Raw genomic sequence first — 17,062 nt, forward strand, 5'->3', positions numbered from 1 at the left:
CCTAGCTGGGCTGGCAGGCAGCAATCTGTTTTCTCTCCAAGTGTACTGAGAAGGGAACGTGGGCCAGGCACAGTTGTTCACACCTGTAATCCCAACGCTTTGCGGGGCAGGAGGCGGGCAGATCACTTGTGGTCAGGAGTTCAAGACCAGTATGGCCAACGTGGCGAAACCCCACCTCTTCTAAAAATACAAAAATTAGCCAGGCATGGTAACCTGTGGTCCCAGCTATCGAGAGGGTAAGGACTGAGAGTCCGTTGAGCCCAAGAGGTGGAGGTTGCAGCAGTGGGCAGCAGAGCGAGACTGTGTCTCAAAAAAGAAAGGAAAAGAAAACAAAAAAAGAAAGGAGAATGCGATTTTATTAAGCAGACTAGCAAGTAAGCTCAAAGAAAAGAATTATTTACTTCATGGTCTCCGTCCACCCCAGTTTTTAGGGAAAATTTTTGGGCAAAAACAAAGTAAGCTAAGATAATGTTAATCACATTCTTACTCACCAATTTGAAACTACAGAGGTAAAACATGAAAAACTGTACATGGCAGGAGGCATGGGTGGGCAACAGGAGTTTGTCAAAGATGTTTATCAGGTCGCGATATAGATCCTTTGTTTTGCCGTTATCAACCTTACCTATGGAGAAAATCTGGCATCTCAGTTTTTATAAAGACATATTTTCAAGTTTCATCTGCCATATTTTTTATAAACACAACACCATTAAAAAACAACATTATCCAGCCAAGCACAGTGGCTCCTGCCTGCAATCCCAGCACTTTGGGAGGCCAAAGTGAGAGGGAGCCCGGGAGTTCAAGGGCAGCCTGGGGAACACAGGGAAGCTCTGTCTCTACAAAAAATCAAAAAATTAGCCAGGCATGGTGGCACGCCTGTGATCCCAGCTACATGGGAGGCTGAGGCGGATGAACCGCTTGAGCCCAGGAGGTCAAGGCTGCAGTAAGCCATGTTTGTGCGACTGCATTCCAGCCTGGGTTAGAGTAAGACCGTGGCTATTTAAAAAAAAAAGAAAGACAGACATTATCCATTAAAATACCATTAAAACAAAATGCTACTTTTAGTTTACACAGATTTTCCTCTGAATATAATAATCTAACACCTGCAAGGAAGCAGGCCCTCACCTCACACACTGTGGCAAGGTCAGAAATGCAAACCCTTCTGAAGAGCAATTCTATCATTCGTGTAGCAAAAGACCTCTAATCCGATCATTTTACTGTTAGTAAACAGCTGAATATATAGGCACAAGTATGTTCATTATAACTGTTACTTATCATGGTGAAAACAGTAAAAGACAGTTAAACCCATGTGACCAACAACATTTATTATTACGACTTTTTTTTTTAGAGATGGGGTCTTGTTATGTTGCCCAGGATAGTTAGTCTTGAACTCCTGGCCTCAGTGATCCTCCCACCTTGGCCTAAGTGCTGGGATTCAATAACAATTATTTTAAAACAGGCAATGATATGAGAAAATGTTTATCTTCAGCATCCATGTAAAGGGCAGATTATGAAACACTTGTGTTTAGTGTGACACCCAAATTCACTAAAAAATACTCTCCTACATATACAGACGCTAACAGAAAAGGGAAAAAAGTCAAACTTCAAAATGCTCACAATGGTTCTCTGAAGAGTAGAAATGTGGCCATTTAAATTGTTTTTATCCTTTCCTGTAGTTTCCAAATTCTCTAATCAACATGTATTATTTTTATAACAGCAAGACCGTTAAAACAGTAATGCAGTCAACTCAGATTCCAGTTCTATTATTCTGACTCACTGAGCTCATCTTAAATCTTAGCAATGTGAATGGAAAAAAATTCTGTTTTCGCCTGGCAAAGCCTTTAAAGTTCCATGAAGTCAAGAAGCACATATAGTACTAACACTGGCACAACAATGGTGCCAGGCAAAGACCCTCTAAACTCAATACATAACGGAGCACCATATATTAGTGCACCCTACATCATTCTTCAGTGCATTCAGCAACTTGAGCGTAATTTGATCTAAAACTGGCCAAACTCCATATATAATCTTTCAATACAACAATCAGTGAAAAGACAGAAGACAAATATAACTCAGCCAGAATCCCAGTCCCATTTTCAAGCTATGTGACTGGCAAGTAACTTGACCTCTTTAAATCATCTTAAACTCATACTCAATAGATATTTTTACAGGATTTTTAGTATTACTAGAGATAATGGATGGAAAATGCCCAGCACAAAGCCAGGTACACTGCAGGTGTTCAATAAACAGTAGCTACTGTGATTTACCATCTACATAGCAGACATCCTTCATGTAGGACAAAACCAAAGACATCAGGATGTCCAGGCGCTCGGCTACAGGATGCACCATCTGGTCGAGCCGTTCAGGACCAGCCTTTGTTTCATGTTCAGTTTCTTCATCTTCATCCTTTGAAGACAAAAAGTAAATACTAACATTAAAAAATTCAATGTCAAAGTGGTTTAGTAGGAAAACTGTCATAAGTGATTATTTCCCTTAAAAGATAAAACAAAGAGGCTGGGGAAAGCGGCTCACATCTATAAGCCCAGCACTTTGGGAAGCAGAGGTGGGGGGATCACTTGAGGTCAGGAGTTTGAGACCAGCCTGGCCAACATGGTAAAACTCTGTCTCTACTAAAAATACAAGAATTAGCCAGGTATGGTGGTGCACGCCTGTAATTCCAGTTACTCAGGAGGCAGAGGCAGGAAAATAGCTTGAACTGGGAGGTGGAGGAGGCTACAGTGAGCCGAGTTCGTGTGCTCCAGCCTGGGCAACAGAGGAAGACTCTGTGCCCCACCAAAAAAAAAAAAAAAAAACTAAACTAAAACAAAGAAATGGACCACGCACAGTGGCTCACGCCTATAATTACCAACACTTTGGGAGGCCAAGGCAGGAGGATCACTTGAGCTCAGGAACTTGAGACCAGCCTGGGCAACACAGTGAGACCTGTCTCTACAAAAATAGAAAAAAAGTAGCTGGGTGCGGTGGTACACTGTAGTCCCAGCTACTCGGGGAGGCTGAGGTGGGCAGATCACTTGGGCCCAGGAGGTCGAGGCTGGAGTGGGCCAAGATCACACACTGCCACACTCCAGCCTGGGCAACAGAGTGAGACCCTGTCTCAAATTAAAAAAGAAAGAAAAGAAAGAAAGAAATGCAGACACCTTTCCAGGCAGGGGTCTCATTCAGGGATGTGAATCAGAACCACCAGTGAAATTTAAAATAAAAGCCAAGACTCACAGCACCAGCTTCTGATTCTCATTGAGAAGACCCAATGAGACCTATCCATGCAAAAATCACAGATGCCCCCTACCTCTGCTCCTGGTGCCCACCATGGCGGGTGCTTTTGGTGCCGGGCCCCCTTTTGCAGGTCGGGATATCCACCTCCCCACTGCTGTGAGTACTGGCGGCCAATAGCTCACAGCCGCCTACTTTCTCCAGAGCTGCCCTGAGCAGAAAGGAGCCAGGACCACCCTTGCACTCTTTCCAGCCCCTCCCCCTTAGAACCAATGACTGATTGACAAGGCATCAGAAAAGGACATCTCCTTGGTCTCAAGCTGGGAACAAACTCTGTAGACCAATCCATGCCCCAGAATGCCTGGTGGGAGCAGGCTGTAGCGACCTCCCAAGTGAGACCCGGCCCCCGTTTAGCTCCCCTGCCCTCTTCTGCTCCCTGACACCCTCTGTCCCAAGGGCACCTGAATCCCTGTCTCAGACTCTCCTTCCACTGAACCCAACTTCAGATACCACCCAAAAGAAGTAATGCTATAAAGTGTACAAGTGGTAAAATGCAGAAATTAAACAGGTATGCTTTTCTATTAACCACGCCCTCACAGACAGCATCTGGCTTACAAAAACAAACACTGAAAGTTACAAGAACAAAAGTGAAACATACTTCACCAAACCCAAATTCAAAGCCTTGGAAATAGACCAACTATGCTAAGTGCTAAATGACATGGCAGCAAATTACTCATATAAGGAATCGTTTTCAAGTTTGCTGAACTATTTTAATTCTTTCAATCTAAAGCCTTAACAAAGATGAGCAGCACTAGCTGTTTCCACCCTTTATGATAAACTTCATCTCCACTTTCATTAATAAACTGCTAACCATATTAAACAATCCTTCCGTGGAATCTGTCCCACCACAAGTTTGAGTTGCTGTTTCTTCAGCATCTTCAATACCCTGCCGGGATGCATTCACCTATAACAAAGGGAGAAAAAAAAAGAATAAAAGGATTTAAAAAATACAACTATGTTATTTTGGGATGGAAATTCATCTGATATACGCATGTTCAAGGTGTCCAGATTAGTGCCTTATATCACACCCCAACACAATACACAATTATGGTGCAAGCCTGTAAACTGACCTAGGTCATGAAGGAATTTAAATATAATAAACCAAGCCCCTTTTACTACATACTTATATAAAATCGACAACTATCACATGATGCTCTATGCCAGGCAGCCTCAACAAATTCAACATTTATTCTAGCTCTGATATGGTCTGGCTCTGTGTCCCCACCCAAATCACTTTTTTTTTTTTTTTTGAGGCAGAGTTTTGCTCTTGTTGCCCAGGCTGGAATACAATGGCAAGATCTCGGCTCACCGCAAACTCCGCCCCCCAGGTTCAAGAGATTCTCCTGCCTCAGCCTCCCGAGTAGCTGGGATTACAGTCATGTGCCACTGTGCCCAGCTAATTTTGTATTTTTAGTAGAGATGGGGTTACTCCATGTTAGTCAGGCTGGTCTCGAACTCCTGACCTCAGGTGATCCACCGGCCTCAGCTTCCCAAAGTGCTGGAATTACAGGCATGAGCCACCGCGCCTGGCCCCAAATCTCATCTTGAATCGTACTCCTCCTGTAAGTCACACATGTTGCTGGGGGGGGACTGGTGGGAGATAATTTGAATCATAGGGTAGGTTTCCCCCATACTGTTCTCGTGATAGTGAATAAGTCTCAAGAGATCTGATGGTTTTATCAGGGGTTTCCACTTTTACATCTTCCTCATTTTCTCTTGCCGCCACCATGTAAGAAGTGCCTTTCACCTCCCGCCATGATTCTGAGGCCTCCCCAGCCATGTGGAACTGTAAGTCCAATTAAACCTCTTTTTTGGCCAGGTGCAGTGGCTCACGCCTGTAATCCGAGCTCTTTGGGAGGCCGAGGTGGACGGATCATGAGGTCAGGAGATTGAGACCATCCTGGCTAACACGGTGAAACCCCATCTCTACTAAAAATACAAAAAATTAGCCGGGCATGGTGGCATGTGCCTGTAATCCCAGCTAATCAGGAGGCTGAGGCAGGAGAACTGCTTGAACCCCGGAGGTGGAGGTTGCAGTGAGCCGAGATCGCACCACTGCACTCCAGCCTGGGCAAGAAGCGAGACACCATCTCAAACAAACAAACAAAAACATCTCTTTTTCTTCCCAGGCTCAGCTATGTCTTTATCAGCAGTGTGAAAATGGACTAATACAATCTCTATGCACAAGACACTCACAGACACATTGTGTAATAAACATATCGTCAATCAACTGAGCAGAAAAATGATGAACTGCCAGCCAAATGTGCATGATGCAATATTTATTTTGGTATATCACCATTCAAATATCTTAACATACCACTCAAACCATGCCATTTTTTATTATCTATGCTTGACCTTCTTTGTAAACATTCTAAAATGTTCCTTAAGTATATACCAGAGAAAGACTATAAAGAGTACATATACAGTTGGCCAGAGAGGTGCAACTCCAAGTGAGCACTGCACCAGTGAGCCCAAGCTCCAGCTCTTCTGAGACCTTGTTCCATCTTCCTGCTTTCCTATAGCATCAATGTTTTCCTCCACCAAAGCTCCTCTCCCCTCAGTCCACAAACCTGCTCACGTCTCTCCACTCCTAAACCACGCCTCTTAGCCCTGCTCCATCCCCTCCTTCCACCACAACCCTGCACCAAGGTCTCTAACAGCCCCAATTCTGCTTCCCCACCATCCACATCCTCTCCCGAAATGCAGTTTCTGCGTCTTCACTGACATGGTCCTCCAGAAAGCAACAAAGACTACCTTCTAACCACTAAATCCAAGGACTGTTGCTCTTTTCATCTTTCTAAAAAATGACAGCAGTATCTGATGCTGCTGACCAAACTCCTCCTTCCGGCGGATCCTTCCTGAGCATCCAGGCTCTTGGTTTTCCCCATACTTCTGATCACCCTTCTCCTCCCCTGTCCTAAACTGCATCTTTCCAAAGGTTTATGCTCAGGTCCCCATCTGCAGCCACGACTGCCTGTGAGTATTCTCTGGTAGGCTGCCCACCAGCAACTGAACCTGGCCAAGATGGAACTACTCTTCCAACTGCCTCCTCTTCGTATTTTTTTCTTTTTTTTTTTTTTTTTGAGACAGAGTCTTGCTCTGTCACCCAGGCTGGAGCGGAGTGGCGCAATCTCGGCTCACTGCAAGCTCCACCTCCCGGATTCACACCATTCTCCTGCCTCAGCCTCCCGAGTAGCTGGGACTATAGGTGCCCACCACCATACCCGGCCAATTTTTTGTATTTTTAGTGAGACAGAGTTTCACCATGTTAGCCAGGATGGTCTCGATCTCCTGACCTCGTGATCCGCCCGCCTCGGCCTCCCAAAGTGCTGGGATTACATGCGTGAGCCACCACGCCCGGCCTCCTCTTCATATTTCTAACTACCATTAATGGCAACACCAAGATTCAATTCCACAGGGAGCAAAGTTGAAGGATTCCTTTCCCTTACTGTCTGCCTCCCCTCCTCCAAACCAGTCTCAAGCACCAGTTCATCTTTCCTGACAATGTCACTAGAATCTACTACTTCCTTTCATTCCCACTGCACCTTAGTGCGGGCCTCCTTAAACAAAGTTTTAACTGTTTATAATTATAATCTGCCCTTAAGAAAGGCCAAACAGGAAAAATCACTTCCGTAAGAATCCCTTCCTGACCCCACTGTGATTCTATCAGGTTCTCTAACTCATAATGTATGTTTCATTCATAGCATTTTCCACAACCATACTTTTACATTTGGATAACTATGTATTTAACGCCTTGTTCTCCAATCATGAGAAGGAACTGTCTACAACTCCCAGCACATGCACACATTCAAAGAAAGGAAGCAAAGAATGGTGCTAGTGGTTTCTTTTCTTTTTTTTTTTTTTGAGATGGAGTCTCGCTCTGTCGCCCAGGCTGGAGTGCAGTGGCACGATCTCAGCTCACTGCAAGATCTGCCTCCCGGATTCAAGCAATTCTCCCACCTCAGCCTCCTGAGTAGCTGGGATTACAGGCACCCACCATCATGCCTGGCTAATTTTTTATTTGTATTTTTATAGAGACGGGGTTTCGCCATGTTGGCCAGGCTGGTCTCGAACTCCTGACCTCAGGTGATCTGCCTGCCTCGGCCTCCCAAAGTGCTGGGAATACAGGCGTGAGTCACCACGCCTGGCCAAGTGGATTCTTTTCTATCACTGACTATTGTTTCCACATACTGTGATTATAACAAATTCAAGTCAGTAAATGAAAATAAAAATAGATTACTCAATACTTACATCCAACTTGAGTAGTTTTTCAATAATAAGCTCCAGAATTTCATGCCTCAAGGTTGGAAAATATACACTAATCCTTAGTAAGTTATGAACGTAACATTCCTAAAGGAGAAAATGTAAGATAAAACATTTCAACAGAGAATAAACGTTTCACAGTTATGTAAGCAAAACATCAATTACATGACCTTTAGTTTCAAATATTTAAAAAGAAAAAAACAGACTATCCAGCAATACAAAAACTATACTGTTTCTACATGTATTATGTTCGGTATAATCATTTCAATTATTCCCAGTAAATGAAATTTTTAATTTGCATAACTATAGGTTTTTAAGTAGCTGTATTGATAAAACTCATATATCATACAATCACCAACTTAAAGTATACAATTTAAGTTTTTAATATATTCAGTTATGAGACCATCAACATAATCAATTTCAGAACATTTATTTTTCTTTTAGAGACAGGGTCTTGCTCTCTCTCTCAGGATGGCGTACAGTGGTGCAATCATAGCTCACTGCAACCCTGAATTCCCAGGATAAGCAATCCTTCCTCCTCAGCCTCCCTAGTAGCTAGAACTACAGGTGCACACCACCACATGAGGTTAATTTTTCCTTTTAGAGAGACATTTTCTCACTATGTTGCCCAGGCTGGTCTTCAACTCCTGGATCTTCCCACTTCAGCCTCCTGAAGTGCTGTGATTATGGGCATAAGCCACTGCGCCCAGCCAGCAATTTTGTAACATTTTAATCACGCTAAAAAGAAATCCTACATCCATTAGTGCACCCCTAAAAAATGAAGACCTTGGCAACCACTAGTCTTTCTATGAATCTGCCTCTTTGACATTTCATATAAATGGAGTCATATAATACATGTTTTTAGGGTTCAATCATGTTGTAACATGTAAACCATTCCTCTCATATCAATGGAGTCATACACAGTTTGTGGCATGTTTTTAGGGTTCAATCATGTTGTAACATGTAAACCATTCCTTTCATATCAATGGAGTCATATAATACACAGTCTTTTGGCATGTTTTTAGGGTCCAATCATGTTGTAACATATAAAGCATTCCTTTTCATTGCTGAGTAATATTCCATTGTACCATGTTTTGTCTGTTCATCAGTTGACAGACATTTGAGTTGCTTCTACTTGAGGCTATTATGGATGATGCTGCTATGACCATCCATGTACAAGTTTTTCTGTGGACATATATTTTCATTTCTCTTGGGTATAAACCCAGAAATGGAACTGCTGAGTCACGTGTTAATTCTACATTTAACCTTGAAGAAATGCCAGGCTATTTTCCAAAATGGCTGCACCATTTTACATTCTCACAGCAACATATGACAGTTCCAACTTCCCATTTCTCCATATCCTTGTGAACACTTGTTACTGTCTTCTCGTTCTGATTATAGCCATCCTTGTGGGCATGAAGTGAAATCATTTCCCTGATGGCTAATGATGTTGAGCTTCTTTTCATGTGCTTTTTTTGCAGAAATGCCTATTCAGATCCTTTGCCCACTTCAGTTGGGCTATTTGCCCTTTTATTATTCAATTATAAGAGTTCTTTACATATACAAGTCCATTACCAGACATAAAATTTAGAAATATTTCCTCCCATTATTTGGGGATCCTTTTCATCTTCTTGAAGATGTCCTATGAAGCATAACAACGTTTAATTTTGAAGTACAATTGATGCATTTTTTTCTTTGGTTGCTTGTGCTTAGGCATCAAATCTGGAAATTACTGCCTAAACCAACATCATGAAAATGTACTCGTTTTCTTCTCAGAGTTTTACAGTTTTTACTCTTCATGTAGGGCTTTTATTGAGTTCATTTTTAAATATGGATATCCATATGCTTCATTCTTTTGCATGTTCATATCCACTTCTGCCAGCAGCATTTGTTGAAATGACTATTCTCCCCTATTCAATTGTCTTGAACAACTGGTTAGTGTATGTTAGTCTTCTGTCCCGTAACCATGCTGAACTCATTTATTATCTCTAAAATTTCTTGTGTGTGTGTAAACTCCTTAGAATGACATATAAAATCACCTTGCAAAAGAGAGTTTACGCCTTCCTTTCCATCTGGATGCTTTTAATTCTTTTTCTTGCCTAACTGCCTTGGCTAGACAAGCAGCAAGAGCGGACATCCTTGTTTTGTTCTTTGTCTTAGGAAAAAACTTTTGGTCTTTCACCAATGAATATGATGTTAGCTGTGGGTTTTTCAGATGCCCTTTATCAGGTTGAGAAAATTTCCTTCTGTTTTTCTCGTAAAAGGATATTGGTGTTTGTCACACACTTCTGCATCTACTGAGATGATTATGTGGTTTTTGTCCTTTGTTCTATTGCTACAAAATATTTTATTAATTCATTTTCAGGTACTAACTCAATCTCGGCCGGTCACGGTGGTTCACGCCTCTAATCCCAACACTTTGCGAGGTGGAGACGGGTAGATCGCTTGAGGTCAGGAGTTCAAGACCAGTCTGGCCAACGCGGCAAAATCCCATCTCTACCAAAAACACAAAAATTAGCGGGGTGTGGTGCCCCATGTCTATAGTCCCACCTACTCGGGAGGCTGAGGTGGGAGAGTCACTTGAACCCTGGAGGCAGAGGCTGCAGCGAGCTGAGATGGTGCCACTGCACTCCAGCCTGGGTGACAGACGGAGACTGTCCCCCCACCCCTGAAAAAAAAAAAATCAATCTTGCATTCTTAACATCAGTCGCACTTGGTCATGGTACATAATTCTTTTTGTATGCTACTAGATTCGGTTTTCTACTAAGGCAACCACTATTAATTATTAAAAACTGCACAGATGATCTGAACATTGTACAAAAACTTAAGCAGAATTCTTCTATGGAAGGCTTTGTCTTCAGGTTAAAATAAGGCATGTTCACAATTAGTAATACATGAACTATTATCTTCTAGTAATTCTTGTCCATATGAGCATAAAGCCACTACAGATATTCCTGAAATGAACTCAGACCTTGACTTGCACATAGTAATAACAGAAAAAGGCACTGGGAATCCCCAATAGCCGCTTTATAAGAAAGGAATCTGAGTCAAATTCTTAGACGTCAGTTTAAAGTCTAGAAGACAAAGTAACCTTTAAGAAAAAGACCTAACATTAGCTGGGCACAGTGGTTCACTAATCCCAGCACTTTGGGAGGCCGAGGCAGGCAGATCACAAGGTCAGGCGTTCGATACCAGTGTGGCCAATATGGTGAAACCTTGTCTCTACTAAAAATACAAAAATTAGCTGGGCATGGTGGTAGGCGCCTGCAGTCCCAGCTAATGGGGAGGCTGAGGCAGGAGAATCGCTTGAACCCGAGAGGCAGAGGTTGCAGTGAGCCAAGATGACGCCATTGCACTCCAGCTTGGGCGACAGAGTGAGACTCGGTCTCAAAAAAGAAAAAGAAAAAGAAAGACTGGAAAAGAAAGAAAAAGACCTAATATCATCTAAAATGAAATCGTACAAACAACTTTTCCATGATGTTCTCAATGAAAAGATTTCTTACCAGTGTTCTCTCTGATTTTCGAACAAATGGAAATTTTTCCACCAGTATTGGCATGAGAAACCACGGTGTCCTATTTTTAAAAAATTAAATCAATCCATGTTAACTTTACTTTCTAGAAAAGGAATAAAAAGGAAAACTACCATTCTAAAAGCAAATATTGATAGACATAGGAGGCAAACAGGAACCCCTACCTCAAAGAACTGGAACTTTTTTTGTTTTTTGAGACGGAGTTTCGCTCTTGTTGCCCAGGCTGGAGTGCAGTGGCGCAATCTCAGCTCACTGCAACCTCCGCCTCCCAGGTTCAAGCGATTCTCCTGCCTCAACCTCCCAAACAGCTGGGATTACAGGCATGCGCCACCATGCCCAGCTAATTTTGTATTTTTAGTAGAGACGGGGTTTCTCCATGTTGGTCAGGCTGGTCTCGAACTCCCGACCTCAGGTGATCCGCCCGCCTCGGCCTCCCAAAGTGCTGGGATTACAGGCGTGAGCCACCGCGCCCGGCCAGAACTGGAACTTACAATGTATAGCTTCTGAGAAAATCTATAACGACTTAGAGAAAATAAGGTTCTGTTAACTCTGATATCAACAGCAAATCAAAGAGGGAGCTTCTCTCCCACAGAAACATAACAGCACTTTTGCTGACATTTCCCACTACACATGTATATTATTTTTAAAAGAAGAAAAAATCATCAAGTTGGATTTTTTTTAAGTTAACAAATAATCAACGGACAGAGGGAACTAGAGGTCCACCCCTCCAAAAGAAACCCACAAACCTGAAAAGCTTTTCTTAGAAGTGCAATTTTTATTCATATGGCATGACACAAACACACCCAGGGGTTTCTCACTGAAAAATTTTGGATAGCATATCTGTTGAAGATAAAAGCAAAATTCCAACCACCATACAAAATTGGGGGAGGATCTGCATACAAACTTTGAAAAACAATTAAAGAGAATAAATAGAAAATGGAAATGCCACTTTTTGTAGAATGTAATGTTTCCTCAAGTGGATACAAAAAAAACATGCAATGTAAGACTCAAGCTTTAATACTATTAACATTTTATAATTTTTACTAATTGATTACAATTTTCTTGAGAATTAAACATTCAAAATAAGGAAAAGTATACTCACGATGGTACATATCTTGCTATTATTTGCAAGGCTCTGTGACATGTGTCAAAATTTGCAGGAAGATCTGAAAGGAGAAAAGTTCAGAGTATGAGCATCAAAACAAAACTGAAGGGCGACACGCTTGAAGCTAAAAATAAATGCTGGCTGGGCACAGTGGCTCACGCCTGTAATCCCAGCACTTTGGGAGGCCGAGGTGGGTGGATCACCTGAGGTCAGGAGTTCGAGACCAGCCTGACCAATATGGTGAAACCCCATCTCTACTAAAAATACAAAAATTAGCCAGGCATGGTGGCAAATGCCTGTAGTCCCATCTACTCAGGAGGCTGAAGCAGGAGAACCACTTGAACCTGGGAGGTGAAGGCTGCAGCGAACCGAGATCACACCACTATACTCCAGCCTGGGCAACAGAGCGAGACTCTGTCTCAAAAAACAAACAAACAAAAAGTGACATACTTGAAGCTAAAAACACATGCTAACCAAAACGGAATAATTTATCAGAGAAATAATAATTTCAAGATTTTTCTCCACCAGCATCAACGAAAATTAAATGGACTAATTATATAAATAATGCATTCAGGACAAATGACTGCATATCAATGGTAAATATAACAAAAAGATTACATCAAAGGTTGTCATTTGTTGCAGTCTACTTATTAGAATAGGTGCCAGGTATTCTGTGCTTTACTTTTTTTTTTAAAGAAGACAGTGTCTTGCCACCAAGCAGGGCTTGAACTCCTGGGCTCAAGCAATCCACCCACTTAAGCCTCCCAGGTAGCTGTGACTAAAGACACACACTACCCTGCCTAGTTCTACTTTAAGCCTTTTTTAAGAAAATATTTGAAAAAAAATGTTTTTTTGCAGAGACAAGGTCTCACTATGTTGCCCAGGCTGGTCTCAAACTCTTGGCCTCAAGTGATCCTCCCGTCTTGGCTTCCCAAAGTGCTGGGATTATGGGTGAAAGCTACTGTGCCCAGGCTTTAAACCTTTTTATACTTACTATCATCTTCATCATCAGAATCTGAAACATCTACATCGCCTTCCTTAATGATCACTCGGGCTTTTGAGGGAAAAAGAAAATATGTTATTCTGTCATTGATCTAGACAATGAATGGCTATACAAAAAAAGTTACTGACCTAGACAATGAACAGCTATAAAAAAAGTTATTTTTCCATAATCCAAAGTTAGCCCAATGATTAATTAAACGCACAATCTGAAAAAAAGTAAAGCAACTTTATAGTTTTTAAACGGCTAAAAATTCCTAGATTTCACCAGGAGTTCAATAAAGCAAATAAATTCATAAAACTCACAGCAACAAATGAATCTAGACACCTCCATAGGGGTCATTACGGGGAATATATGTCTACCAGACCTGGTGCCAATATGCATCTGGAATCTTCCATGGTAGCAGTCTCTCATATATAAGGGGAAGGTAGTATTTTAATAAAGAAGTATTAAAAAGAAAATAAAATTCCAAGCAATGACTTACGAGGCACAAAATGGGAAGCAATCATGCTGAGACACGGTCTGAGGAAAACAGTCTGTGCTGATACAAGATTACCAAGAAAAGCCAAATACTCTTCCACTACTGTTTGACTTCTATTCAACCAAGGCAATCTCTAGAGTGGGGGAAGAAAGATAAAAGCAGCATGTTATTAATATAACATATACTATTACCAAAGTTCTGAATTACATACTTTACAGTAAAATAAATGGTGAACTTACTAATATAATACTGATAAGTTGCTCAAAGTCTTTTGTCAAGTACATGATAGAAGAACGGAATTCTAGCAGCCAGTTGATGATCTGGTCATCCTTAAGTTAAACAAAGAGTACTTTCAAAATCACAAATCCTCTAACATAACAGAAATTTACAGCTATCTTATATCAATCATTTATCAAGAATAGGTTGGGGGGAAAAGGTCACAAACTTGGAAGGAACTCAAAACTGGGTATTAAAACAGAAAAAGATGTCACAATAAATTACTTAACTGTTTTAAGAAAGTAATCTAGTAACTCTAATACACAGGAGAAAGACTTAAATGCAATACTTCAGCCTGATCACTTCTGTTTGCCCTGAAAAAGCGAAATCACCTCAAATGTTGACACCTGGGACTTTTAAAAACTGCAGCATTCTAGCAGACTGAAATATTAGAAGATCACAAAGGAACAATAGCTACCTCTATTTCCTCTATATTCAAGCTGACCAGGAAGCATGCTGATAAAACTCAGTCGAGGCTGATCAATTGGGGTCATGAATAAACATAACTTTTCTAAACCAAACCTGTGGCTGAGTTTAAATATATTATGATGTGATTGTTCTGTATAAATGATAGCCCCATTCCTCCATGAAATATTTTTCGGGCAATCAAATTACTGTTCATAGTAATTGTTAGTGACATGAGAAGAACTGCTAAATTTGAAACGCAATGTATAAAATACAGTGTCAATTATGTAAAATATTACTATATTAATTATATTCATGCATATATACTGCACAGGAAAAAAACCATTAAGAAAAAGCCCCTAATTTGTGGAAGGCTTAGACATATAAATAAAAGCAACACAAGGTCATACCTACAGGGATATTCATATGGAGTTATCATTTAGTGAGAATACACCATATGCCAGGCATGGTGCCTGACACTCCACATATATATCTTCTTCTAATCCTAAAAACTCTGCAAGATGTTTAGTTATTCCCATTTTGCTGTTCAGGAAGCTGAGGCTAAGAACGATTAATAAGCAATCTGCCCAACCAAGAGGCCAGTAAAGAAGCAGGTCCAAACCCGTCTGTCTCGGTCAAGGCTATCCTCTGTCCACCGTCCCACACGCCTCCCTATATGCGGAGAAGAAGCTGTCCCCTTTTCCCCACCTTAATTCAGCTACTGAGTGCTTACTATGCCATATCCATGTGTCAAACTCCCACAGATCAACCATTTTCTGATGAAATCCCAAGTAGCCTGGCAGTAAAATAAAGTAAAACCACAACTCATTTGTACTATGGTAATTTCATATGTCCACAACTGTTAAGGATAACATTAACGGTAGCTCACTAAGGCCAAAGGCATGTAGAAAACAAGCTAAGTTAGTGTACAAATAAAATAAACTATCCTATCTCTTTTCCACTAAAAAGACTGCAACAAAACTATAAGGATAACATTTAAACTGTACCATTTTTAAAAGTAAATCAGGCTGGGCGTGGTAGCTCATGTCTGTAATCCCAACACTTTGGGAGGCCGAGGTGGGTGGATCACCTGAGGTTGGGAGTTCGAGATGAGCCTAACCAACATGGAGAAACCCCGTCTCTACTAAAAATACAAAATTAGCTGGGCGTGGTGGTGCATGCCCGTAATCCCAGCTACTCGGGAGGCTGAGGCAGGAGAATTGCTTAAAAAACTCGGAGGCAGAGGTTGCAGTGAGCCAAGATCATGCCACTGCACTCCAGCCTGGGCAACAAGAGCAAAACTCCGTCTCAAAAAGAAAAAAAAAAAGTAAATCAGTTGCAGACTTTGATGCTTTAGTACTGAACTATTATTATTTCTACTAGCAGGCAGGAACAGTGGCTCATGCCTGTAATCCCAGCACTTTTGGGAGGCCAAGGCAGGAGGAGACTGCTTGAGCCCAGGAATTTGAGACCAGCCTGGGCAACATGGGGAGACCTCATCTCCAGAAAAATTAGCCAGGCATGGTAGCACATGCTTGTGGTCCCAGATGCTCGGGAGCCTGAGGTGGGAAGATTGCTTGAGCCTGGGAGGTTGAGGCTGCAGTGAGCCATGATCGGGCCCATTACACTCCAGCCCGGGTGACAGAGCAAGACCCTGTCTCAAGATGGAAAAAAGTTCTACTTGCAACACTCCACACAACTAGTGCAATTCTTGGTATGTCAAAATACCAAGAATGAGAACTGCTGATACAAAATACAGTGGAACACAAAGAAAATGTCCCTTTGTATCTGGGAAAGAAGGCAGGGGTCAGGAAAAGCTTTAAAGAGAAAGTGATGCTTCAGCTGTCTTTAAACAGTAACACAGTTGAGTCTTTTCTGGAAGTTCTGCTTCTTACAGAAGGAAAAGTATGTTTTCAGAAAACTGAAAAACGTTCAGTATGGCAGGCATGTATAGTGACCAAGCCAACAGATAATAAATCTGGGGAACAAAGAAGCACCAAATAGACCATGGGGGGCCTTGTAAACCAGATCTGTAACTAGAGAGATCTGGAAGTGTGGGAAATGGACTCAATGAAGGAACAACCATGTGCTTAGAGAGAACCAGGGAAAGCTCCATGAAAGATGGAGCCCAGCCAAGAGTGGACATGCTAAGTTTGGAGCATCTATGATGATTCTGGGTAAATGCATCTAACAGACAGTTAAGAAACAAGTCTAGGCCGGGTGGAGTGGCTCACGTCTATAATCCCAGCACTTTGGGAGGCTGAGGCGGGTGGATCACTTGAGGTCAGGAGTTCGAGAGCAGCCTGGCCAGCATGGTGAAACCCCAAATCTACTGAAAATACAAAAAAATTAGCTGGGCATGGTGGCACAGCTACTCGGGAGGCTGAGGTGGGAGGATGGCTTGAACCCAGGAGGCAGAGGTTGCAGTGAGCCAAGATCATCCCACTACACTACAGCCTAGGTGACAGAGCAAGACTCTGTTCTGCCCGTCCCCAAAAACGAAAATGAAATAAGTCTGGAGCCCACAAGAGCAATCTTGGCTACAGACACAAATATATTAGGACACAGGTAGATTTCAAAGCCATGAAGGGAGATGAGGAGATCACACAGAAGAATCAACAGAGTGAGAAAAGAGTCAAGTTTTGAAGCCCAATCAACACCAAATTTAAGATCAAGAAACTATCAAGAAATACTAGCGATTAAAGGATCACTGG

The 17,062-nt window shown here is 41.8% G+C and overlaps 2 protein-coding genes across 11 annotated transcripts in view; one reads left to right on the plus strand and one right to left on the minus strand.

Annotated features, from left to right (window-relative positions):
* The window catches only part of PDXDC1 (pyridoxal dependent decarboxylase domain containing 1), a 178,484-nt gene that overhangs the window by 97,724 nt on the left and 63,698 nt on the right, over positions 1 to 17,062 (plus strand). The gene's annotated exons all lie outside the window — the stretch shown is intronic.
* RRN3 (RNA polymerase I transcription factor RRN3) overlaps positions 1 to 17,062 on the minus strand; it is a 34,314-nt gene that overhangs the window by 12,437 nt on the left and 4,815 nt on the right. The window contains exons 4-12 of one of the 2 annotated variants that reach the window (NM_018427.5): positions 13,907 to 13,996; positions 13,671 to 13,800; positions 13,181 to 13,240; positions 12,184 to 12,247; positions 11,055 to 11,124; positions 7,540 to 7,638; positions 4,100 to 4,192; positions 2,265 to 2,403; positions 492 to 622 (exon numbers count right to left, since the gene is read on the minus strand). In NM_018427.5, the coding sequence (NP_060897.3) occupies positions 492 to 622; positions 2,265 to 2,403; positions 4,100 to 4,192; positions 7,540 to 7,638; positions 11,055 to 11,124; positions 12,184 to 12,247; positions 13,181 to 13,240; positions 13,671 to 13,800; positions 13,907 to 13,996 (876 nt within the window). The remainder of the gene's footprint in view (positions 1 to 491; positions 623 to 2,264; positions 2,404 to 4,099; positions 4,193 to 7,539; positions 7,639 to 11,054; positions 11,125 to 12,183; positions 12,248 to 13,180; positions 13,241 to 13,670; positions 13,801 to 13,906; positions 13,997 to 17,062) is intronic. The other variant, NM_001301064.1, reaches the window with a different exon arrangement.

This window comes from Homo sapiens, chromosome 16, assembly GCF_000001405.40.
Source record: "Homo sapiens chromosome 16, GRCh38.p14 Primary Assembly".
Taxonomy (NCBI): domain Eukaryota; kingdom Metazoa; phylum Chordata; class Mammalia; order Primates; family Hominidae; genus Homo; species Homo sapiens.